Source organism: Homo sapiens, chromosome 1, assembly GCF_000001405.40.
Source record: "Homo sapiens chromosome 1, GRCh38.p14 Primary Assembly".
Lineage (NCBI taxonomy): Eukaryota > Metazoa > Chordata > Mammalia > Primates > Hominidae > Homo > Homo sapiens.
This window is the reverse complement of record NC_000001.11, coordinates 15,159,407-15,184,510: the sequence shown is the minus strand read 5'-3', so window position 1 is coordinate 15,184,510 and position 25,104 is coordinate 15,159,407. Positions and strand designations below refer to the sequence as shown.

The 25,104-nt window shown below is 46.3% G+C and overlaps 1 protein-coding gene and 1 long non-coding RNA gene across 10 annotated transcripts in view, besides 3 other annotated features; one reads left to right on the top strand and one right to left on the bottom strand.

The window, feature by feature from the left end:
* The window catches only part of TMEM51 (transmembrane protein 51), a 67,913-nt gene that overhangs the window by 35,968 nt on the left and 6,841 nt on the right, over positions 1-25,104 (bottom strand). The gene's annotated exons all lie outside the window — the stretch shown is intronic.
* Positions 12,198-12,367: an enhancer, noted in NCBI's record as "experimental_370 CRE fragment used in MPRA reporter constructs". NCBI's record gives its function as "activates a minimal promoter by MPRAs in K562 erythroleukemia cells, with activity observed for both the introgressed and non-introgressed 1:15498725 variant alleles {active_cell/tissue: K562}" and the evidence as "EXISTENCE:reporter gene assay evidence [ECO:0000049][PMID:34662402]".
* TMEM51-AS2 (TMEM51 antisense RNA 2) lies at positions 12,887-20,319 on the top strand. 2 transcript variants are annotated; one of them, NR_167931.1, is made up of 3 exons: positions 12,887-12,900; positions 13,196-13,330; positions 20,050-20,319. It is a non-coding gene; the product is annotated as a TMEM51 antisense RNA 2 (long non-coding RNA). The 2 variants fall into 2 exon arrangements; NR_167930.1 differs by lacking the exon at positions 20,050-20,319 and adding an exon at positions 15,734-16,037.
* Positions 15,814-15,883: a silencer, noted in NCBI's record as "silent region_299". NCBI's record gives its function as "represses an Ori minimal core promoter by ATAC-STARR-seq in GM12878 lymphoblastoid cells {active_cell/tissue: GM12878}" and the evidence as "EXISTENCE:reporter gene assay evidence [ECO:0000049][PMID:35858748]".
* Positions 16,775-16,944: an enhancer, noted in NCBI's record as "experimental_366 CRE fragment used in MPRA reporter constructs". NCBI's record gives its function as "activates a minimal promoter by MPRAs in K562 erythroleukemia cells, with activity observed for both the introgressed and non-introgressed 1:15494148 variant alleles {active_cell/tissue: K562}" and the evidence as "EXISTENCE:reporter gene assay evidence [ECO:0000049][PMID:34662402]".

Below are 25,104 nucleotides of genomic sequence, written 5' to 3'. Positions count from 1 at the left end.
TCATGTCACTCCTCTGCCTGGCTTCCTACTATCCTGAGAATAAAATCCAAACTCCCCACTTGCCTTCAAGGTACTCTGTCGTCTGGACCTGGATCCACCCTCTGCCCCCTGTCCTCTGCTAGTCCCTGGCCACTCACAGTGTGGTCCTGCAGTGTCAACAGCCCTGAGAGCTGGTGAGAAAGGCAAGGCCAGGCGTGGTGGTTCACACCTGTAATCCCAGAATTTTGGGAGGCCGAGGTGGGCGGATCACGAGGTCAAGAGATCAAGATCATCCTGGCCAACATGGTGAAACCCCGTCTCTACTAAAAATACAAATATTATCCTGGTGTGGTGGCGCACGCCTGACTCGGGAGGCTGTGCAGGAGAATCACTTGAACCTGGGAGGCAGAGTTGCAGTGAACTGAGATCGTGCCACTGCACTCCAGCCTGGTGACAAAGTGAGACTCCGTCAAAAAAAAGAAAGGCGGAAGGAAGGAAGGAAAGAAGAAGGAAAGGAAAGAAGGAAAGAAAGAAATGCAGACACTCAGGGCCACCCCGGACCTGCTGAGTTGGATCTTGCAGGAGGCACGTGCACCTTCATGTTTGAAATGAGCGGCTGCGGCCCCACTGTCCTTCTCGCTGGCTTCTTCTCATCTGTCACTTAAATGTGACCTCCACAGTGAGGCTTTCCAAACCGGACATTTGCAAGTAGTTGTCCATGCAGTTCTCTGTCTCAGCATCTTGCTGGTTTTGGACATAGCTATGACCACAACATGTAATCATCTTGTTTATTTATGTTATTTGTTGCCTTGCCTGTTTCTATGTCCATAGCCCACATCCCTGGTGTAAGCTCTATGAAGGCAGACACAGGGCAGATGGCACCAAACACACAGAAGGCACTCAGAAAATAGTATTGGAAGGAATACTAGCTACATATATTGTGCCTTTACTATGTGGTAGTAAGTTTTCTTTACAAGAATTATCTTCATGCAATCTATAGTTATCTTGTTTATTCTTCATGCAACCTATAGGCGAGATAGATACCATGTACGATAATCTCCCTTTTACAAATGAGGAAATGGAGGCAAAGGGACATAAAGTTTTGCAGCTGGTAATCGGCAGAATCGGGGTACCTGGGGCTAGGTGGGGAGTGATCTTGCTCCCATCACTGTACCTTTTACCTCTGCACGATACTGCCTTATTTGTAAATCAAGTAGCATATTACGCACATGACGGATGCATAACATTGAAAGGAATTTCCTAGTGAATGCTTCTATAAAATAAAGAATTCTGCTGTTGGGGGATATTTATCCCTTGTGTGCTTTTTTGGTAAATGACATCTTGGATTCAGAATCTGTTTAAGCAAAGTCCATAGATCCATATGTTCCCAAAGAGTGTTGATTCTACCAGCAGACATAAAACAAGTCCAACAGGGAAGATGCTGGGGCTACTCAAATTTAGAAGCCATTGGCTGGGCGTGGTGGCTCACATCTGTTATCCTAGTACTTTGGAAGGTTGAGGCGGGAGGATCACTTGAGGTCAGGAGTTTGAGACCAGCCTGGCCAACATGGTGAAACTCCATCTCTACTAAAAACACAAAAATTAGCTGGGTGTGGTGGCAGGTGCCTGCAATCCCAGTTACTATGGAGGCTGTGGTAGGAGAATCAGTTGAGCCCAGGAGGCAGAGGTTGCAGTGGGATGAGATCACGCCACTGCACTCCAGCCTGGGTGACAGAGTGAGATTCTGTGCCCCCCAAAAGAAGAAACAGTGGATATTTCTGTGTCCTCTGTCAGGCTGGCCTTCCCTCCTCACAGCCACCAGGTAAATAATCTTTTAGCTTTGGGGATCCAGTACTTTCCTTCTATGGCCCTTCTTGCCTGTCCTCTTTCTTGCTCCCAACTGCCTAAGGTACTTATTTCCAGAATTTAATATGCAGGACAATCCATTTAGATAGAACATGGGGCCTCAATTTTGCAAATGAAGAACCTGAAGCTCAGAGAGGTGAATTATTTGCTCAAGGTCACACTGCCAGTTGGCGAGAGACCCAGAGCTTGAACAGCTCAACTCGGAGTGGTCCTGGTATACTGATGATCACATAAGCTGAGGCTTGCTGACGCTGTGCCAAAAGCTTGCCTGCTTGATCTTACGACAGTCCGATTGGGCAGGCGCCATGGCTATGTCCATTTTACAGATGAGGAGACTGAGGCTCACAGAGGAAGAGTGACACATTCTCAAGGTCATGCAGCCAAGAAGAGAGCAGGGATTTGACTCCAGAAGGGATGCTCTTATTATGTACTGCCATTCTGCTTTCAGCCTAGTGCAGTTATTTATTTATTTATTTATTTATTTATTTATTTATTTATTTATTTGAGATGGAGTTTTGCTTTTGTTGCCCAGGTTGGAGTGCAATGGCGCAATCTCGGCTAACTGCAACCTCCACCTCCTGGGTTCAAGCGATTCTCCTGCCTCAGCCTCCCGAGTAGCTGGGATTACAGGTGCACACCACCACGCCCAGCTAATTTTTGTATTTTTAGTAGAGACAAGGTTTTGCCATATGGGTCAGGCTGGTCTTGAACTCCTGGCCTCAGATAATCCACCCACTTTGGCCTCCCAAAGTGCTGGGATTAACAGGCGTGAGACACCACTCCCGGACAGTCACACATTTTAAATTTATAAACCAGCCCTCGTGGAGTTTCATGCAGGCAGCCAGACGTCACGGTTTGATGGTTCACCTTTTATTTTTGTTTTCAACCCAAAGAAAACAGAGCAGCTTGAGAAACCCATGCTGTGGTTCCCACAACACAGGCAAAACACTAAAGCAAGCATACAAAATAAATAAACAGAAAGGTTGTTTGTTCACCTTGAGCCCCGTCTGGTCGAGAACCTGCTGCCATGACCTGAGAGCCAGGGCTGTGGGGTGGGAAGCTCATCGTTTACTTAGACATGACGGTAACCATCAGCCCGAATCTCTTGCAAGGGAGTAAAGAAAGATGGTTAGGAACCGAAGCCTGGGAACGAGGCTTTGAGTTTTTAAAAATGAGAGAATCCAAAAGACGGTTTAATTTGAGCGCTTAAGAGTCCCTGGATGTAGTTCAAAAAGGCTTTTTGCTACACCTGTTGCCACATGCCACCTGGAGGCTATCCTGTCACTTCCTCAAAGGCATGAAGGACAACTTCCCATCCTACTGCAACCTGGAGCCCCACCCAGCTCAGTTACAAACCTAGACAGGTGAGTGACCTCGCAGATGACAGCAAATATCAGCAGACAAGTACAAAAGGTTTACAGTGTTCAGGGTGCCGTTCTATATGCCTTACATCTATTGACTCATTCCATCCTCACTGTAGCTTGTTAAGGCTGGTATTAGCACTCCCATTTTAAAGATGAAGAAACTGAGGCTTGAGGCATTAAGTAACTTGTCCAAGGTCCCACAGCTGGTAGAAGAGGGATGTGAAATCACTCTTGGAACCAGTGCACACAGCCTTCCGGAAGGACAGGCTCTCACTCAGCCAGCGATGGATTCTCCGTCCAGTCTGCAGGGGGTCTTCTGCATTGATCCCCATCCCACAAAGCTGATGACAGCATGGTGCAGTGAACAGAGGCAGGAGTTGAGCAGACCCAAGTTTCAATCCCAGCTCCTCCATTTTCTAGCTATATGACCTTGGGCGAGGGACTTGACCTTTCTGAGCCTTGGTTTTTGCTCTGCAGATAAGAATAGCACCTTGCCTATAGGGTTATTATAAGGATTAAATTAGATAATAATAGCCAGCATTTGCTAAATGCTCCCCGTGCTAAAGGCTCTGTGAGGGAAGAAGTACGGCCACTGTCTTCGTTTTACAGAAGAGGAGCTGAGCCTCAGAGAGGTTAGGTCACTTATACAGAGAAACATAGGCAATCATGGAGAAGTGGGGGCTCTTAGCTCCAGCCTCTAAGAACTACACAATGCATCCGCTCATATAATTAAACATGCCCCCAAAACAATCAGCATAGTGTCTATAACACAAAAGCTCCTCAGCACACAGCCAAAATCATTATCTGGAGGGCTTCCAGGGAGGCAGAAACTGATCAGAGAGTGCCTGTCTGGTTCTGCCCGACGCCCAATACCTGATGTGTGTCTGCAGCCCTGCAAGTGAGTGCTGGCCTCTGTTCCCAGCACAGCGGGCCCTGTGATGCCCGGCACATGGCCAGGATCTGCCTGGTGACTGAGGAGCCTTTGTCCATAGCTTAGAGCTGGTCTTGCTGACGATCAGGAGACAGCCCTGGGACCAGACTTTGACCGCAATTAGGTTTATGCTTAAAAACAGACTAATGGTAAATGCTCAACAACTGCAAAGACTCAGCCATCCTGCTAAAGCCAGAAGAGACTTTAGCAATTAGTGTCTGGTGGTGCCCACCGCAGGCTGGGCATCAACACTCAGCACTTGCTGAGCATGGAGATGCTCGTGGGCCACACCCTAGGTCTGCTGACTCAGTTGCCAGGGCTGGGGCGGAGGCATCTGCCCTTTACTTATTTATTTACTTAAGATGCAGTTTATATATAGTAAAATGCACAGATCTTAGTGTACACTTAGATGCACTTTTGAGAACTGTATATATCCATGTAACCATTGCCCAGAGAGAAGACATTTCCATGATCCCAGAAAGTTCCCTCATATGTGCATACCTTCTTTCAGTCTACCTTTCTGCCTTATTTTAACAGCGGTTAGTTTTGCTTATATTAGAAGGTTTTGCATTTGTTTGTGTTGCTTTTTGAGACAAGGTCGTGCTCTGTCACCCAGGCTGGAGTACAATGGCATGATCTTGGCTCACTGCAGCTTCAACTCCTGGGCTCAAGCCATCCTTCCCGTTTCAGCCTCCCAAGTAGCTGAGGTTACAGGCATGCGCCACCACGCCCGCTAATTTTTATATTTTTTGTAGAGACAGGGTTTTGCCATGTTGCCCAGGCTGGTCTTGCACTCCTGGGCTCAAGTGATCCTCCCACCTCGGCCTCTCAAAGTGATGGGATTACAGGCAGGAGCTATTGCACCGGCCAAAAGTTTAGGGAAGTGGAATCACCCAGAAAGTGCTCTTCTGTTTGCCTTCCTTTGCTCACCCATGGTGTGGCCTGTATCCCGTTTCCTTTCCTTCCTTTAACTTGCTGAGTAGCCATCAGCTGTGTGACTGTATCAGTTTGTTTAGCTGTTGGCCTGCTGAGGGACAGCTGGGATGTTTCCTCCACTAGAGGAAATGCATAATGTCAGGCATAATGCTGCTCTGAACCTCTGTGTACCAGCCTGTGTGAAAAAGGCAGCTGTTTGCCTTTCTCTCTATAAATACCCAGAAGTGCAATTGCTGGGTCACAGGTAGAAGTGCTAATTTTAATCACCTGTCCAGGTGCCACAGCTGCCCAGTTGGGGTGCGATTCCCCAGTCTGTTCTCTTTTAAGCCCCATGTCCAGATGCCAAGCCCCTGGAGGTTACAAGATCTGCTCTGAGTCACAGAGGAATCAGTTTTCCTAACGAGCAGTCCCTGAGTCATTCCACATTTTGATTTCCATTTAGCTTTGAAAGTTGAACCGATTCTGGGTGGTTTGTTCTGACTAATGATGTCAGCCGTTCATATGAGGGCTAAAAGCCCATGGAGATAACACAAGGAAAGTTCCGGCTGCCAAGGCATCAACCAGGTTTCATGCCCATTGAACACACTGCTAAATCGCACCATTCTCAGTCCTTCCCCTAAACTCTCCGCTAAGGGACCTCCAGGGGACCAATGCAGATCTAGCAGAGGCAGTAAAGCAAGGTGGTTAGAGTCAGTGGAGATAAAAATCCAGGTCTGTCTGGATGGTTTTAGGCAAGTTGCTTCAACTTTCTGAGCCTCAATGTCCTCATCTGTAAAATGGGCACACCACCAGTACTAACTCACGATACTGGAGTATATGAGGTATATAAAAGGAGATGGTAGGTGAGCAGCAGATGGGGGTCAGGAAGCAAAGGGAGCAGCAGTTTGAGACCCGGCCGTTATCTGAAGACCCCGGAAGCACTACCTTGCGGTCTGCTAAACATGCAGATTCTTGGGCCAGATGAAGGACTTACAGAATCAGAATGCGAGGTAAGGCCCGGCATCTGCTTTTAATTAGCCAAGTGATCCTGATGCTCACTAAAGCCTCAGAGTCCTCATCCTGGGGTGTGGACCCAAGAGGACTCTGAGGAATCGGCTGAGCTCAAGGATATAGAGACAGGTGGGGTGGGAGGACCAGGAAGGGAGTTAAGGCTTGGAAGAGCCACCATGGGCAACCGAAGGGACCGCTCTACTCCTCCACCAGGACTGTCTCCTGGCTCTGCCCCAGGGAATCCCTCTTCCACCCCTGCTCACCTAGCAAGACTCCAGCCTGGCCACACAGGTCTCCAGCCACAAGGACCTCATGTGGCCTGATGGGTCAACTCAGCTAAGTGCTAAATGCCTGTGCAAGGCAGGCATTATTGAGCCAGGGTCAAAGGTTCTGGTTCTAGGTTCGACTCCCAGCTGTGTTACTTCCTTCCTGGCTGGGTGAACGTCAGTGTGTCATTTCAGCTGGGCCATGAAAAGGGTTTGATAAGTCGTGTCTCCCTAACGGAGTTGCCAGGATTCATCAGCGCGTATGGGTTAGAAGACTTCGCGTGACGTTAGGCATGCTATGCGCGGTTGTTATGCTACAGCGCTGGGCTTATCTCGCTTCCTCTTTAGGGATGGGGATGGGGTTGGTGACCACTGATAACCTGGGAAATATTCTGCAACCCATTCTCTGAGGTTTAACACCGGTGTTCTTACAGTTGCTTCATACAAGGGTGCAAATCATGCAATCTTAATCAATCAATCAATCAATCAAATTTAAAAATCCCCCAAATCTAAAACAATCAAATGCTTAAGAGAAGCATAGACAAGGTCCCAGAGAGACACTGCACGCCCATCACCAATTAACCACAGGGACAGGCCCCCCCCTTCAGTCTGTGACCAACTGCATTTGGGATCCAGCTGCTTGCTCGGGATGAGCTGTTCTCAGTCTGTGTCCTCTTTTGTCAAATGACCATCCCCATTGCTGCAGCATCTTCCACTCCCTGCCCATCCTCCCCGGCCCCTGGTTCCTCCCGACTTCCCTATTCCAGTGCAAGGACATATCACTTTCCTGGTGGCCTGGGCTTGAAATCTCAGTGACCTTGGGCATTCTCTCCCTTCCCTGACTCCACCCCTCTAACATACACACACTCTCTGGTTTCAAACTGGCAGCTCCAGGACTATATCTGGCCCATGGAAGTGTCTTCTTTGGCCTGTGAAGTGTTTGTTATTTATTTTATGTAATATGGAGTAATTGCCAATATTGAGAACATGGGTGATCTTGCATGTAAAACTTGAAAATCTGGCGTCTCTGGCCTAAATTCTCACATGGTGCTGAGTCATGGCTCTGTCCTAGGGAAGGGGCTTGGCACCCCACTTTGCCACAATCCCCACTACTCCCTGCTGCCTCCCATCTGGCCAGACTCTCTCCTTAATATCCCCCACTGGCTCCTTTCAGACATCTGCAACTCCCGCCCATATCCATGTTCAGTTGGCTCCCAAATACGTTGCTTCTTTTTGTCAGAGTCCTTTTCAGTGATTCTTCCTGCCTCATCCATCTCCTTCTCACTTCTCAGGCCTGGCTGATGGTGATAACTGACTCCTCTAAGTCTTCCCTAGCTTTCAGGCCCAGCCATGCTAACCCTCCAGCCACTGTGTCTATCAGAACTTCAGTGTCCCTCACAGCCCACAGGATAAAGCCCCAGCTCCCCAGGGAGGCTGTGAACTACCTCATCCAACCTGAATTCTTTAATTCCTTGACCATGCACTTTGTGCAGGGCCCTGTACCAGGCACCAATGATGCAGGGTGGAGAAAAACATGTTCTCTCTCAGGGGAAGACCAGAGTAATGTCCTGAACATGTCCAAGGAGGGAAACGGTCCTGGGTCTATCTTCCAGCCTCTGCAGCCCTCCACTCTCTGTGTCTTGCCTTTCTCTCCTCCCCTACCCCATCCTGAAGGCCTCTCCTTCCACATCCGGTTCTATTCCCCTTTCTTCCAGAAGCCTCCTGCCATGGCCAGCGGGGAGTGGCTCTCAAGTTCTGTTCATGCAGGTTGTTTGTATCAGCCAATTGCTACCGGCCATTTAGAGTCGTCTTGAGGGTGCTGGTTTCATTCCCGCTTTCTCTCTCTAACTAAAGTTTAACACGCAGGGCTGAACACCTGTGTTCTCACTGCCGCCTCTGGGGCTTTTTATATTTTTCTGGGACTCCTCTAACACTGGGCATAGGACTGTTCACAGGAAGCCTCAACAAATCTCTGTTGACTTCATTCATTCATTTCAATAAACATTGACTGAGCAACCACTGGGTTGTTGGGCACTACAAACACAGAAGTGAACAAGCCAAAGGCCTGTTCTCACAAAGCTTCTCTTTTCCTGAAAGAGACAAACAAGTAAAGGGATAACCTATCACAAGATGTCTGGAAAAGAAAACAGAAGAATGTAAGAGTCAAGGTGGAAGATGGGTTCTTTTGACAGAGTGATCAAGAAAGGGCTTTCAGAGAGGACAACATTTTCACTGAGACTGACACGGTGGCAGCAGACTGGGGAGGTGGGGAAGTCCCAGGCAGAGTGATATGGTTTGGCTGTGCGCCCACCCAAATCTCACCTTGAATTGTAATGAATCCCATGTGTCAAGGGCGGGGCCAGGTGAAGATAACTGAATCATGGGGGCAGCTTCCCCCATACTGTTCTCCTGGTAGTGAATAAGTCTCATGAGATCTGATGGTTTTATAAATGGCAGTTCCCCTGCACAAGCTCTGTCTCTTGCCTGCCACCATGTAAGACATGACTTTGCTCCTCATTCACCTTCTGCCATGACAGTGAGGCCTCCCCAGCCATGTGGAACTGTGAGTCAATTAAACCTCTTTCCTTTGTAAATTACCCAGTCTCGGGTATGTCTTTATTAGCCACATGAGAACAGACTAATACACAGAGGTAGCCAGTGCAAAGGCCCTGAGGCAGAAATCACCTTGGAGGATGGGCAAGATAGAAGGGGAACAGAAAACCACTTAGGAGCTTACAGCCCTAGTTTATTTTATTTTATTTAATTTATTTATTTGTTGAGATGGAGTTTCGCTCTTATTGCCCAGACTGGAGTGCAGTGGTATGGTCTCGGCTCACTGCAACCTCTGCCTCCCAGGTTCAAGCTATTCTCCTTCCTCAGCCTCCCGAATAGCTGGGATTACAGGCACTCGCCACAACGTCCAGCTAATTTTTGTATTTTTAGTAGAGATGGGGTTTTGCCATGTTGGCCAGGCTGGTCTTGAACTCCTGACCTCAGATAATCCACCCACCTCGGCCTCCCAAAGTGCTAGGATTATAGGTGTGAGCCACTGCACCCAGCCTACGGCCCTAGTTTAGAGTCAAAGTTGACAAATGGAGAAGAACTTGTGATGAGTTTGATTTGGGCAGGAGAGATGAAGGGGACAGAGGATTTTAGTGTCAGCGACCAAAAGGATGGTAGGGTGCTGTCCAGACTGAATATTTGTGTCCATCCAAAATTCATATGAAGCTCTAACTCCCAACATATTAGGAGATAGGGCTTTGGGTAGGTAATTCAGGTTAGATGAGGTCATGAAGGTGGTCTAATGGGATTAGTGCCCTTATAAAAGAGACTCCAGAGAGCTCTCTCTGCACACGTGCATCAAGGAAAGTTCATGTGAGGGCACAGTGAGTAGGCGGCCATCTGCAAGCCAGGAAGAGAGCCCTCGCCAGAAATTGAACACTGCTGGGTCTTAAACTACACCCCCCAGAACTTCAAGAAAATAAATTTCTATTGTGTAAGCCACCCAGTGTATGATATTTATATGGCAACCTGAGCCCTTTACTGACATAGGAAAATCTCAAATAACGAATGAAATTTACCTAGGTCTCCAGGTTGAAACACTTCAGAGTTGAGACCGATATAGGAAAATGAGGGGGTTGGGTGTGGTGACTCATGTCAGTAATCCCCAGCACTTTGAAAGGCTAAGGCAGGAGGATCACCTGACCCCAGGAATTTGAGACCAGCCTGGGCAACACAGCAAGACCCGGTTTCTACAAAAACTAAAGAATAGCTGTGTGTGGTGGCAGCGTGTCCATAGTCCCAGCTACTCAGGAGGCTGAGGTGGGAGGTTTGCTTGAGTCCAGGAGGTGGAGGCTGTAGTGAGCCACGATCAAGCCACTGTACTCCAGCCTGGACAAGAGAGTGAAATCCATCAGAAAAAGAAAAAGGAAAATGATGGGATTCTATCAACGAAGGCTACAGAAGTGTGTCTAAGGCACAGAACCCTGCATGTCATTCAGAGATGCCCAATGCTCACCTGTCTCAGCCTTTGCCCAGTGCTGACAGCTGCTCTCGAAGTTCCCGCCCTGATTTCTGACCTTCCCCAACCTCCTTCCAGCGGAACTGCAAAACCCTGTTTTCTTTACTGCTGCTTTCGCTTGCTGTGGAAATAACAGCTTCTTTATAAGCCACACTTCAAAGTTACCACTCCCTTTATCAGATGGCCTGGCCCCGGAGCACTGCCTTAACCCATTGAAGAGCAGGTGTTATGAAACCTTCCAACTTGCTTTCTTGAAAAACTAGCTTGTTCTACTCATGCAGACCACAACCTAAGTCTTACCTAGTTAAGGTGACAACTAACGTCAAGGTGACAGACACAAAAAGAAATTCATAGAAACGTTCAGCATGTGGCAAAATGTCCAAGATTCCAGGTTGAAGAAAGGGTGTTTTTAGATAAACAGAACTAGAAGTTGAAAGGCTCTTCTTTGACAGATGAATTTTGTTTGTGTTTTTTTTTTTTTAGATGGAGTTTGTGAAATTTGCTTAAAGAAAAAATAAACAGATGATATTTATGTAAAACAATGCCTGGAATATGAACTGAGACTCTAAAGACTTTAAAGCAAGTCTAGTTTTCATGATGGCAGGAAAACAATCTGTGTTAAGAATACTATCAGGTTGGCCAGGCGCAGTAGCTCACGCCTGTAATCCCAGCACTTTGGGAGGCTGAGGTGGGTGGATCACTTGAGGTCAGGAGTTCGAGACCAGCCTGGCCAACATGGTGAAACCCCGTCTCTACTAAAAATACAAAAAATTAGCTGGGCGTGGTAGTGTGCGCTTGTAATCCCAGCTACTCGGAAGGCTGAGGCGGGAGAATCGCTTGAACCTGGGAGGCAGAGGTTGTAGTGAGCCGAGATTGCGCCACTGCACTCTAGCCTAGGCAAAAGAGCGAAACTCCGTTTCAAAAAAAAAAAAAAAAAAAAAAAGAATATGATCAGGTTAAACCCCAGATTCCTAAGCAGAAAGAGGAGATGCTGGGCCCATCTGACCTACTCCCTAGGCATGTCCAGGCACAACTATTAACTGGATTAAGCACAATAATATTTCACCTGCCAGAAGTTTATTACACATGGCCTCATTCGGTTCCCACAACCCTCCATGAAAAAGGTAGGCATTGAGCCCATTTAACAGCTGAGTACATATCCTCGGGGGATACGTTCCAAGACCCCCAGTGGATGCCTGAAACAACAGACAGCACCCGACCTTACACATAACGACGACGTTTTCTGATCTGATAACCCAGACCGCTCCTAAGTGACCAATGAGCAGGTAGTGTCGACAGCACCCATCTGCTGGACAAAGAGACGATTCACGTCTGGAGCAGGACAGAGTGGGACAGTGTGAGATTTCATCACACTACTCAGAATGGGATGCAATTTAAAACTTATGAATCATATCTTTCCGGAATTTTCCATTTAATATTTTCAGATTGTAGTTGGCTATGGGTAACTGAAACAGTGGAGAGTGAAATGATAGAAAAGGAGGAACTCTTGTAGACAATATAGGATCATAAAGGGTTAAGTCACTTGCTCAGGATCACAAAGCTGGCACGTGGTGGAACCAGAATTCTAACCCGTGGCTGTCTAGCCCCAGAGTTCACTTACTTTCTCTTTTCCTTTTTCTTCTGTCTCTGTCTCTCTCTCTCTCCTTCTTCTCTTTCTTTTTTCTTCTTTCTCTCTCTCCTTCCTTCCTTTCCATTCTTTTCTTTCCTCCCTCCCTCCTCCTTCCTTCCTTTTTTTTTTTTTTTTTTTTTGAGACAGGGTCTCACTCACTCTGTTGCCCAGGCTGGGGTGCAGTGGCACAATCTTGGCTCACTGCAGCCTTGACCTCCCAGGGTCAGGTGACCCTACCACCTCAGCCTTCCAAGTAGCTGGGACTACAGGCACGTGTCACCATGCTCCACTAATTTTGGTATTTTTTCTTTTTTGCAGAAATGGAGTTTTGCCATGTTGCCCAGGCTGGTCTTGCACTCCTGGGCTCAAGCGATCCACCTGCCTCAGCCTCCCAAAGTGCTGGGATTACAGGTGTGAGCCACTGTGCCTGGACAGAGTCCACTTTCTTTTCCATACTTCAGAAGTTTCAAACGTGGCTGGGTATGTTAATCAGCTAGAGAGCTTGTTTGAAAATCTGATTCCTGAGTCCCACTGCTGAAGTCTGACTCGGCAGGCCTGGGCTGGGGCCTGGAAATCTGCTTTTATTAAGTTCTCAGCTGATGATCTGAGCAAGGGGTTGTTGGGATGGACCACATCTGTTTCTGCTAGAAGGTCCTGTCAAGAGAGTCAGGGAACGCCCAGCAGAGCCCCAGAAACCACCTGTGGGTTCAAGGAGGAGGTTCCGCGGCAAGGACTGATTGATCAGCTGTGGTAGTTCCTGCTGTGCGGGCTTGGTTAAGCTGGAACTACTTTTCCCAGAATCCCCTTCTCTGACTGGTTCTGGGTTATAATTGGTCAAAAGAGGAATCTGTGGAAAGCTGGGAGATGGAAGTGAAGCAGCGACCATTACACTTTAGAGGTCATCATGATTGGATGAGGTGAGAGACAGCCCCGTGGGTTCCAGCACATTCGAGCCTGTCCTCCATTCTGCATCCAGCTCTTTCTCCTGACTGCTGGTCCTGTTAACCAACAGCAGCCCAGGCCCCCCCGCGGACACTTGGCTGGGGATGGACCAGACAACGGCTGGCTGTAGACTTCTCCACCAGTTTGCCCGTGTACCCAGGGCCAGGTGGCGATGCCCCTGGTCCCCGGCAACTCTTCCACCTTCCTTTCTGCCGCCCCCCCTATGAATGCATAAGAACTAATTCCTATAACAAACCCCTTATCTCATAGGTCATAGAAGTTTGGCTTCTCTCATTGACCTGGAAGGATGCCGTCATCCACTCTGACCTGCAAACCTTTTGATCTCAAACAGCGATCTTCCAGGCGTGGCCCCAAATCAACAGCATCAGCGTCACCCAGGAGCTGGTTAGAAATGCAAATCCTGGGGCCCCACTCAGACCTACTGAATCAGCAACTGGGGGTGGGGGATGTGGCGGGGGGTGGAGGAGGAGGGAGGACCCAGCAATCTATGTTTTAACAAGCCCCCCACCCCAGAGGATTCTAACACAAGCTGAAGATGGAGAACCACTCATGCAAGCATTTAGAAAACCTGCCTCTAGGGAGGCCGAGGCGGGCGGATCATGAGGTCAGGAGATCGAGACCATCCTGATTAACACGGTTAAACCCCGTCTCTACTAAAAATACAAAAAATTAGCCAGGCGTGGTGGAGGGCGCCTGTAGTCCCAGCTGCTTGGGAGGCTGAGGCAGGAGAATGGCATGAACCCGGGAGGCGGAGCTTGCAGTGAGCTGAGATCGCAACACTGCACTCCAGCCTGGGCGACAGAGGGAGACTCCGTCTCAAAAAAAGAAAACCTGCCTCCATTTCTGTTTGGGATGATGTAGTAGTTCTGGAAAAAAGACAGTGGCGATGGTCACACAGCACTGTAAATGTGCTTAATGTCCCAGAATTGTACACTTAAAAATGGTTAAAATAGGCCAGGTGTGGTGGTGACTCACGCCTATAATCCCAGCACTTTGGGAGCCTGAGGTGGGCAGATCACTTGAGCCTGGGAGTTTGATACCAGTCTGGGCAACATGGCAAAACCCCGTTTCTACCAAAAAATACAAAAATTAGCCGGGCGTGGTGGTGCGCACCTGTAATCCCAGCTACTCAGGAGGCTGAGGCAGGAGAATCGCTTGAAACTGGAAGGCGGAGGTTGCAGTGACTCCATCTCAAAAAAAAAAAAAGATAAAAAAAAACCCAGCAGTATCCCAGGCACCTAGCTTTACCTTGCCCTGCAGCAGAGGGCCGGGGGAGAGGAGGGAAAGGAGGAAGTTGGCTTGCTCATGGGTCTGTACTCCCAGGCATTCTGAGATAAAGCCCCACGACTCTCAGGTGTGTTTGGCTTGGATTTGGAATGGACTTACTAGAATGGAAAGATTTTCAAAAATAATTATGACAGTAACACCTAAAAATGTATTGAGCATGTACTGTTTTAAGTACATTTATAGTTGAATCTTCACAACATCCTAAAACTATTCTCCCCATTTCGAGAAAGTGAGCCATGGCTCAAGGTCACCCAGATCATTAGGACCATTTGAACTTAAAGCTGTTACTTTAATACAAAGTCATACATGTTTCTCTGTGGGAAACTCAGAAAGTACAGGTTAGAAAAGAGAAGACAGGGAGAAAGGGAATAAAAATTACTTGTAATCTGTTAGGAATAAACATTAGAAACATTATAGTAAATAGTCAAATTTTTATTCTTTGCGTATTAGGGAATTTTGAAATAAAAAATGGACAGCTTCGTAATCTGCCTTTTTACATTGGCACACTAGACTCATCTTTCTATGTCTTTCAGAGCCTTCTGTGTCATTGCCATGTTGAATGGCCATGTGGTGTTCCCCTTGTATAACCTTGTAGAAACCATAGGCTTTTATGGGACATTTGGGTTGTTTCTACAAGAAGACATTTCAACTGGGAAAAAATCTTTTAATCAGGTTGCTGAAATGTCTCAAACTTCCTCCCTGCAATGAGCAGTAACATGGTGGAAGGGCGATCAGCTTTTGGGGGTTGATATTTGCTAATGAAAAGACCCAAGCACCAGGCAACATAGTCTCACGCACATTTATTTCAGGGGCAAACTTTTGGAGGGAAAAGGCTCTCATTTTTATGTGTTGAATCTGAAAATTCTCAACTGAAGACAAAGTAAAAAAAAAAAGTCTCTCAGATTTACCCATCTCACTCCTTAAAAAGAAGAGCTTGATTCCTTGGCAACAAGGAACAAATGTTCCTCAGAATCCCAAGTTATCTCCCACTTCCCAGTTCTGAAGTTACATGCCAGGTAGATCTAGTTAGATGCCAGTACTATTGTTTCTCACCATAGCATCATAGTTCAGAATGAGACTGGCTGGGTTCAAATCCCGACTCCCTCACTTTCTAGCTGTGGGCCCTGTTATTAGCTCACTAAACTCTTGGAGAAGAAGTGCTAAAGATAGAAGCCTGGGTCTCTGAATGACTGTGTGGAGCCAAGACCCCACCTTCCCACCCAATATATGAAAATGTAACTGGAGTGCCTTAAGTCCTTCAGATGTGGGGTAGTTTGCACTGTATGTAGCTAGCATACTCCTGCCTCGGTTTCCCTAACATAGAACTGTTTTGAGCATCAAATGACTTAAGAGTGATGGGAAAGCTTAGTTGCTCCCCACTCCAACTCCAGATATTGACTCTAATAAGGGTAGTCCCCAAATATCTGTAACTTTTATCATGAGCCGGATATGGCTCTGACTCCCAGGAATTCCCCTAAACTCTTCTTGAATATTTTTCAGCCTGAAGCCCTCTTGTGGGAAGCAAGTTTGTCTGCTCCTTTCTGTGAGACGTTCCCAGTCACTGGCTCACCCTGGGAGAGACAGTACGCGTGTTCTAAGCTACCAACAGACTTCCTCAGATGCAGTGAGTCAGTACAAACACACAGGCAAGGTTGAAGAACTCTATGGCCTTCGTCTCTCTTGGCTCAGCCAGGCACAGTTCCTCTTAGCCCAAGACAAAACAGCCTATGCTGTTAAATCAGTGGTTCTACCAGCTTCCAATCATAAAACCAAGGGGCAATAATACATAAAATTGGAACTTATACATTCTGAGTTACAGCTAATTGCAGATGTATCCAAGCTCATTATACATTTATCTACCATTTGTCTGTAAAAGATTGCCTCTACAGTCCTTCCTTCCTTCTTTTCTTCCCCATTCCCCTTCTTTCTTTTGGTGCACAGACCCCTTTGAGAATCTGATGAAAGCTACTGACCTGCCACAGAAAAATGCAGAGATAGAATACTTGACAGAGAATGCTTGACAGACCATTTCAGGTGGTTAGTGGGTCCTTAAAGGTGATTGAGGACCCTCATAGGAGTTATTACAAGTTTGAAATTACCCAACAATTTCATAATGATCCTGACCACTATAATACTTTATTGCTTTGATGACCAGGCAAACATCTAAAAGCAGCATCTAAAAGCATCATTATATGCAGAGACAATTTCTAGAAGTATATACAAGAAATAGCAGATGGTGGCTACGCTCGTATAAGGGACTGGGAGCCTGGAATGAGAGGGAGATGTATATTTTTTCATTGGACATCCTTTTACACCATTTGATTTTTTTATACCATGTGCATATATTAGTTTCCTAATTAAAGAAAAAGAGTTAATGAAAAAGTTATTTAAGTTAAGAACGATCACTACTCATTGTCATTTCCATGCCTGTGATATGGGAAAGGGAGAGTCATCAATGGGGAGGTGGTCAACCTCCTACCAGCAGGGTGAAACCCACATCAGCTGGCAAAGTGAAAGCATCACTCCAGAAAAGACAGATGGTTTCACCGGGTCTTCAACATAGGTCACTGAAGTTCCAAATGGGAGGGGAGGATATTATCAATGTTTCATTAGGTCCCTGCATAGCCCTGGTGCTGGCTGGAGGAACTGGCCCTAACCTCCTAAGTTTAGTCATTTCATATAAAGATAAACATACACTCACATACAAACCCAATAATTCCACTCCTAGGTATTTCCCCAAGAGAAATGAAATCATATGTTGATACTAAAACCTCTGAATGTTTATAGCAGCTTTAATCGTAATCACCAAAAAGTAGACACAATCCAAATATCCTTTTAACAGGTGAAGGGATAAGTAAACTGTCGTCCTGCACATTCATACCATGGAATAAATGCAGTATGGGGAAATCTCAAATGTATTCTTTTTTTTTTTTTTTTTTTTTTTTTTTTTTGAGATGGAGTCTCGCTCTGTCGCCCAGGCTGGAGTGCAGTGGCGTCATCTCGGCTCACTGCAAGCTGCGCTTCCCAGGTTCATGCCATTCTCCTGCCTCAGCTTCCCGAGTAGCTGGGACTACAGGCGCCCGCCACCACGCCTGGCTAATTTTTTGTTTTTTTAGGAGAGACGGGGTTTAACCATGTTAGCCAGGATGGTCTCGATCTCCTGACCTCGTGATCTGCCCGCCTCGGCCTCCCAAAGTGCTGGGATTACAGGCGTGAGCCACCGCACCCAGCCATTTCAAATGTATTCTACTGAGTAGAAGCAGCCAGACTCCAAAGGCACCATACTGTATGATTCTATTTACGTGATATCCTGGAAAGGGCAAAACTATAAGGACAGAAAAAAGATCAGTGGCTGCTGGGGGGTGGAGACAGGAAAGACTACAAAGAGGCAGCAGGAGAGTATTTTGGGGGGTGATGGAACTTTGCTACATCTTGATTGTGGTGGTGGTTACATGATTGCTTGTGAGTCAAAACTCATCGAACTGTGTTCAAATGGAAAATTACATACATATATATAAAATACAATGCTGGGCGAGTATTTTCTTTTCTTTCTTTTTTTGAGATAGAGTCTCACTCTGTCATCCAGACTAGAGTGTAGTGCTCTGATCTTGGCTCACTACAACCTCCGCCTCCTGGGTTCAAGGGGTTCTCCTGCCTTAGCCTCCTGAGTATCTGGGATTACAGGTACCTGCCACCACACCCAGCTAATTTTGTATTTTTAGTAGAGACGGGGTTTCACCACGTTGGTCAGGCTGGTCTCAAATTCCTGACCTCAAGTGATCCACCGGCCTTGGCCTCCCAAAGTGCTGGGATTACAGTGTGAGCCACCGTGCCCAGCCTTGGGTGAGTATTTTCTCACAGTTGCCTATGAGTCGGCTGCTGTGGCTTCCACCATGCTCCTATCTCAGCTTCCTAAGTCTCAGAAGGGAGGCCCAGATACTCGAAGTTTGAAGGGTAAACCAACCACCAGGAGTGGCAGCTGATGTCTTCAAAGCTCTCTACAGTTCCCAAAGCACCTTGCCTGGCAGTAATCCCTGTGGGATGCATAACAAGCCTATGGGTCTTCAGCACAGGTCATTAAAGTTCCAAATGGGAGGAGAAGGTGTTATCAATAACAGTTTTGTTATGAAAACAATGCTTGTTTAAGAAATAAAAATTAGTTAAATACAGATTAGCAGAAAGAATATCGAAACCCCCCATGGCTACCCCCATCCATAACTGCTGATAAATATCTATGATGGTATCCATGCTTTCTTGTGTGCTGTGTAAACAAAATACTTTTTTGTTTTTTACAAAAATGGGATATTGCTGCAATATGTTTTATAACCCTAACTTTTTTTTTGAGATGAAATCTCACTGTCACCCAGGCTGGAGTGCAGTGGCGCAATCTCGGCTCACCGCAACCTCCACCTCCCAGTATAACCTTAATTTTGAAAAATTTGATGTACAATGAACAATCTTTCGTATCATCAGTATTCATCAATACTGGAATTTTTAGTGGTTGAGGACCACTTCAGTATATGAAAGAGCTGCAATTTATGTCACCAATTCCCTGTTGCTGCAAATATATTTGATTTTTAGTTTTATTGCTATTATAAAAAATACTGTTGAAATTAACTCCGTATACAACCATAAATTGTTACCTCGGGATAAAATCTTGGTATTGAAGATATTAATAACAAGGTTAAAATCTTGGAATTAAAAGTGTTTTAAAGCTAAGTGCTTTAAAGGTTTGGGCCTGTGTTTTCAGACTGTTCTCCAGTTTACACTTCTATGCTGAGCTCCTGAAAGCACTACCTCCCAGTTAGCATTATTTAAATTAAAATTTTAAAACTTTTAAAACATTTTAGATTTCCTGTGTGAAAGACGGCATTGTTTTAATTGGCATTTCCTTTAATACAATGAGGCTGAATACTGATTCTTTTTTTTCCCATGTACTAATTGGCCACCAGCATTTCTTCTTCTTTTTTTTGAGACAGGGTCACCCAGACTGGACTGCAGTGGCATAGTCACGGCTCACTGTAGCCTCTACCTCCTGGGCTCATGTAATCCTCCCACCTCAGCCTCCCAAAACGTTGGGATTGCAGGTGTCAGCCACTGTGCCTGGCCTCAGCATTTCTTCTTTAGCCCATTTCTCAACTAGGGCATTCAGCTTTTCCTTACTAACTAGAAAAGCAGGCTGGGCTTGGTGGCTCATGCCTGTAATCCCAGCACTTTGGGAGGTCGAGGTGGGCGGATCACAAGGTCAAGAGGTGGAGACCATCCTGGCCAACATGGTGAAACCTCGTCTCTACTACAAATACAAAAATTAGCTGGGTGTGGTGGCGCGCACCTGTAGTCCCAGCTACTCGGGAGGCTGAGGCAGAAGAATTGCTTGAACTCGGGAGGCAGAGGTTGCAGTGAGCCGAGATTGTGCCACTGCACTCTGGCCTGGCGACAGAGCGAGACTCCGTCTCAAAAAAAAAAAAAAGGAAAAAAAAAAAAAAAGCAAAGCTCCCGCATGGATTCAGAACACAACTCTTTGTCTGTTCTGTGTTGCAAATATTGTCCCCAGTTTATCATTTGATATATCAAAGTTTTTAAATTTTAGGTGCCTAATCTAAAAATCGTTTCAATAATCTCTTTTATAATGTTGCCTTTCGCTCTCATGTTAAAGAATACCCTTCCAAAAAGGGGCTGTAGTAACTTTACAGTGGAGAAATGTGGCAGACACCACCTTAACCAAGTGACCAAGGCTGATGTCATCAATAAGAAGTTACATTGATATTATCTCCATCCTAACATGATTCAGTGAGAAGCACACTTCACCTTTGTAGGATTCTTTCCCAAAACCCAAAGGCCCAGTCCAGTCACGAGAAGACATCAGGCAAACCGAAATTCAGGGAAGTTCTACAAAACACTAACCAGTACTCTTCAAAGTTCTCAAGGTCATGAAATTTAAGAAAAGACTGAGAAAGTGTCACAGTTCAGAAGATACTAAGGAGACAAGATGACCAAATGCAATGTGGCATCTTGAATTGGATCCTGGTGAATAAAAATGCAGTGGGAAATCCAGCGAAATCAAAATAAAGTCTGTAGTTTAGTTAGTTGTGATGTCAATTTCTTAGCTTTGATAAGTATAATACGATTATGTAAGATGCCAACATTAGGCCGGGCATGGTGGCTCACGCCTGTAATCCCAGCACTTTGGGAGGCCGAGGTGGGCGGATCACCTGAGGTCAGGAGTTCAAGACCAGCCTGGCCAACATGGTGAAACCCTGTCTCTACTAAAAATACAAAAATTAGCCAGGCATGGTGGTGCATGCCTGTAAATCCCAGCTACTCGGGAGGCTGAGGCAGGAGAATCACTTGACCCCAGGAGGTGGAGGTTGCTGTGAGCCGAGACCACGCCACTGTACTCCAGCCTGGGTAACAGAGTGAGACTTTGTCCCCTCCCCCCTCCCCCCCCCCAAAAAAAGCCAACATTAGGGGAAGTTGGGTGAAGGGTAGACAAAAATGCCCCATATTACCTTTGCAACTTTTCTATAAATCTAAAATTATTCCAAAATTAAACAAAAATTTATTTAAAGGGTCGTGGCTAGGACCATCTCTGGACAGATTAAAAACAAAATGGCTTTCTAATTTTGTTGCTATTATTACAAAAAATAACAGTCTCGAAACTAACTCCTTATACTCATTAACTGTTTTCTTAGGATAAACTTCTAGAATTGAAATTATGGTGTTTTCTAAAGCCTCTGGGCAGTCTAGAAAGAAAAGCAGAAAGAACAGGAAGGAAAAAAGCCGCCAAAGTTCCTGGCTTTGAGCAGGGGTACGAGGTAGGTGGGGGTGGAAAGTAGTTCCTTGTGACTGATGCAGTTGAAGTTGGGGTAAGGCAGCAGTAATAGGTCTGAAAAGATTAACAGAGGCTGACTCTAAGAAGTCCGGGCTTTATAGTGTTGAAAGTTAAAGAGCTTAGCTTTGGCTTGATCCTGCCAGCATAGGGAAGGGGCAAAGATTTCAGATCAGTGCATTTGACATGTTATTGATTTGTTATTTTACTTGTTGGTTTCCTACTTGACTGACTCCTCCCTGCTGCCTAATAAGGTGTAAGCTCCAAGAGGGCAGGAACTGAGCCTGTCTTAGGCACCGTTTCCCCCCAAAGCCTGGAAGAACACCTGGTCTGTAGAGAGAACGCAATGATATGGCCAAATGACTATCTGAGTCTTGTTTCCAAAATGACTCCCCCACCCACCAACTTTTTAGTGTGATAAAATGCACATAACATAAAGTTGACTATCTTAACCATTTTTCCATGAACAGTTCAGTGGCATTAAGTACATTCATACTGCTGTGCAACCATCACCATCATGCATTCACAGAACGCTTTCATTTTACAAAACTGAAACCCCTTACCCATTAAACCCTAACTCCCCATTCCTCTTCCCCCAGCCCCTGGCAACCAACATTCTACTTTCCATTTCTATGATGTCTAGATTCCTCATACAAGTAGAATCATATAGTATCTGTCTTTTTGTGACTGGCTTATTTCACTTAGCATGATGTCCTCAAGGTTCGTCCATGTTGCAGCATGGTGTCAGAATTTCCTTCCACATGGAGGCTGAATAATATTCCACTGTATGGATAGACCACATTTTGTTTATTCATTCATCCTTTGATGGATACTTGGGTTGTTTTCATATTTTAGCTATTATGAGTAATGCTCATATAAACATGGGTGTACAAATATCTCTTCAAAAACCTGTTTTCAATTCTTTTGAGCATTGATATAGTTTGGATATTGGTCCTCTCCAAATCTCATGTTGAAATTTGATCCCCAGGCTGGATGCGGTGGCCATGCCTGTAATCCCAGCAATTTGGGAGGCCGAGGCATGTGGATCACTCGAGGCCAGGAGTTCAAGACCAGCTTGGCCAACATGGTGAAACCCCATCTCTACTAAAAATACAAAAATTAGCTGGACATGGTGGCACATGCCTGTAATCCCAGCTACTTGGGAAGCTGAGGCATGAGAATCGCATGAACCCAGGAGGCAGAGTTTGCAGTGAGCCAAGATTGTGCCACTGCACTCCAGTCTGGGCAACAGAGTAAGACTGTCTCAAAAAAAGAAGAGAAATTTGATCCCCAATGTTGGAGGTGGGGCCTAGTGGGTGTTTGGTTGTTGGGAGTGGATCCCTCTTGAATGGCTTGGTGCCCAAAGATCTGGTTGTTAAAGAGTCTGCTCCCCACTCCTTCTCTCCTCTTCTCTCTCACCACATGACGCCTGCTGTCCTTCTGCCCGAGGCCCTCACTAGAAGCAGATGCTGATGCATCTGAGATGCCATGGGCTAAATAAACCTCTTTCTCTCTTTTTTTGAGATGGAGTCTTGCTCTGTCGCTAGGCTGGAGTGCAGTGGCTCCATCTCGGCTCACTGCAACCTCCGCCTCCCGGGTTCAAGCCATTCTTCTGCCTCAGCCTCCTGAGTAGCTGGGACTACAGGTGCCCGCCACCATGCCTGGCTAATTTTTGTATTTTTAGTAAAGACTGGGTTTCACCATGTTGGCCAGGATGGTCTCGATCTCGTGATCTGCCTGCCTCGGTTTCCCAAAGTGCTGGGATTACCGGCGTGAGCCACTGCGCCCGGCCAATAAATCTCTTTTCTTTATAAATTACCCAATCTCAGGTATTTCTTTACAGCAACACAAATGGACTAAGACAAGTATGCACCCAGAAGTGAAACTGCTGGATCCTATGGTTATTCGATTTTAATTTTTTGAGAAAAATGACTTTTGTTTTTTTGAGATGAGTCTCACTCTGTTGCCCAGGCTGGAGTTCAGTGGCACGATCTCGGCTCACTGCAACCTCTGCTTTCCAGGTTCAAGCGATTCCTGTGGTCAGCCTCCTGAGTAGCTGGGATTACAGGCACCTGCCACCATACCGGGTAATTTTTCTATTTTTAGTAGAGATGGGGTTTCACCATGTTGGCCAGGCTAGTCGTGAACTCCTGACCTCAAGCAATCCACCTGCTTTGGCCTCCCAAAGTGCTGGGATTACAGGTATGAGCCACCATGCCCAGCCCCCAAAATGACTTTTAAGAAGAAACTATATAAAATACTTTTTCCACCTCTGCCTTCAGCATCTGCCCTGAGTGCAGCGTTTCTACACTCAGTATTGGCCTGTGTTAACGAAGCTCTTTTACACCTTGAGGCCTTTGCACAGGCAGTTGCCTCCACCAGGAAGACCTTTGGCGGTGGCGGCTGCACCTGCCCTCCCCGCTCCCCATTTCAGCTCAGACTGCACTCTTTCTGAAAATCCTTCCTGACTCTCCAAGTTTGGGTTAAGCCTCCTCCTTCACGGGCTGTGCTTCCTCATCTTTATTCACATGTTGTTAAGGTACAATCCCTGCTGCCTCCCGTGGGGGATCAGCTCCATCGGGGTGGGGGGCGGGGGCTGACTCTCCCTCGTTCCTGGGCTCAGCGCCTGGCATACCATATGTATCAGGAGATTTGTTTAAAGTGATGGCGCCGGTGTTTAGCTACAGGCAATTTCCCCCAAAAGAAGAGAATTTGCATCTGTCACTGTTTGAAAACAATAATTACCCACAGGCAGTTCCAGTACCTAACTGCTTCTCTCCAAATTGCAGGCAGTTTTAAGGAAGCTGTATGTGAGGCCTCTTATGGTAACTTAAGAAAGTTTGAGTGTTTGTTTTGTTTTTTAAAATCATGTTCTTGCTGGGTGTGGTGGCTCACGCCTGTAATCCTAGCACTTTGAGAGGCTGAGGCAGGTGGATCACTTGAGGTCAGGAGTTCAAGACCAGCTTGGCCAACATGGTGAAACCCTATCTCTATTAAAAATACAAAAATTGGCCGGGCGTGGTGGCATGCACCTGTAATCCCAGCTACTCAGGAGGCTGAGGCAAGAGAATTGCTTGAATCCAGGAGGCAGAGGTTGCAGTGAGCCAAGATTGCACCACTGCACTCCAGCCTGGGCAACAGAGTGACACTCTGTCTCAAAAGAAATAAATAAAATAAAATAAAGTCATTTTCCCTCACCAAATATCAACAAATCATGCCCCACACCCTAACCAGCACAGGCCCAACCTGTGGGTTCCAGGAAAAGGTAGGATAAGGTAAGGCAAGTAAATTCCACCTGCTTCTCTACACCCCTCCCTAGACCACATGTGAGGAGAAAAACATGGAAAAGACATAAAATTGCCCAAGATTTAGAGCCACCTAATTTTACCTGTTGAGGAAATAGCAAAACCTCCTGGAGACATCCAGAACTGCACATCATGTGAGTCCACGATCTTAAAAAAAAGAACTTGCTCCCTGTGGTGAGTTCTCATTCTGCCAGGTTCTGCCAGGATTTGGTGACCCTGGGCTTATCATCTCAAAGGCCTCTCAGGCCAGGGGATGGGCCTGGGAAGCTTCCATTGGTAAAGCTCTGGGGACATTAAAAAAAGAAGAAGGCTAGGTGTGGTGGTTCATGCCTAGGCCGAGGCAGGCGGATCACGAGGTCAAGAGATCGAGACCATCCTGGCCAACATGGTGAAATCCCATCGCTACTAAAAATACAAAAATTAGCTGGGTGTGGTGGCGCATGCCTGTAGTCCCAGCTACTAGGGAGGCTGAGGTAGGAGAATCGCTTGAACCTGGGAGGTGGAGGTTGCTGTGAGCCAAGATTGCACCACTGCAGTCCAGCCTGGCAACAGAGCGAGACTCTGTCTCAAAAAACAAAACAAAACAAAAAAAGAAATGCCAGAACAGGGTTATTAACTCTTCTTTGTTTGAAATGTGGCATTGAAAAAATTAATGCTTTGTGCATCTCAGCAATATAAATTGGGTTGTTGGCACGAGAGCGACAGGCTTTAGGATAAACATGAATTCCTAGTGCACG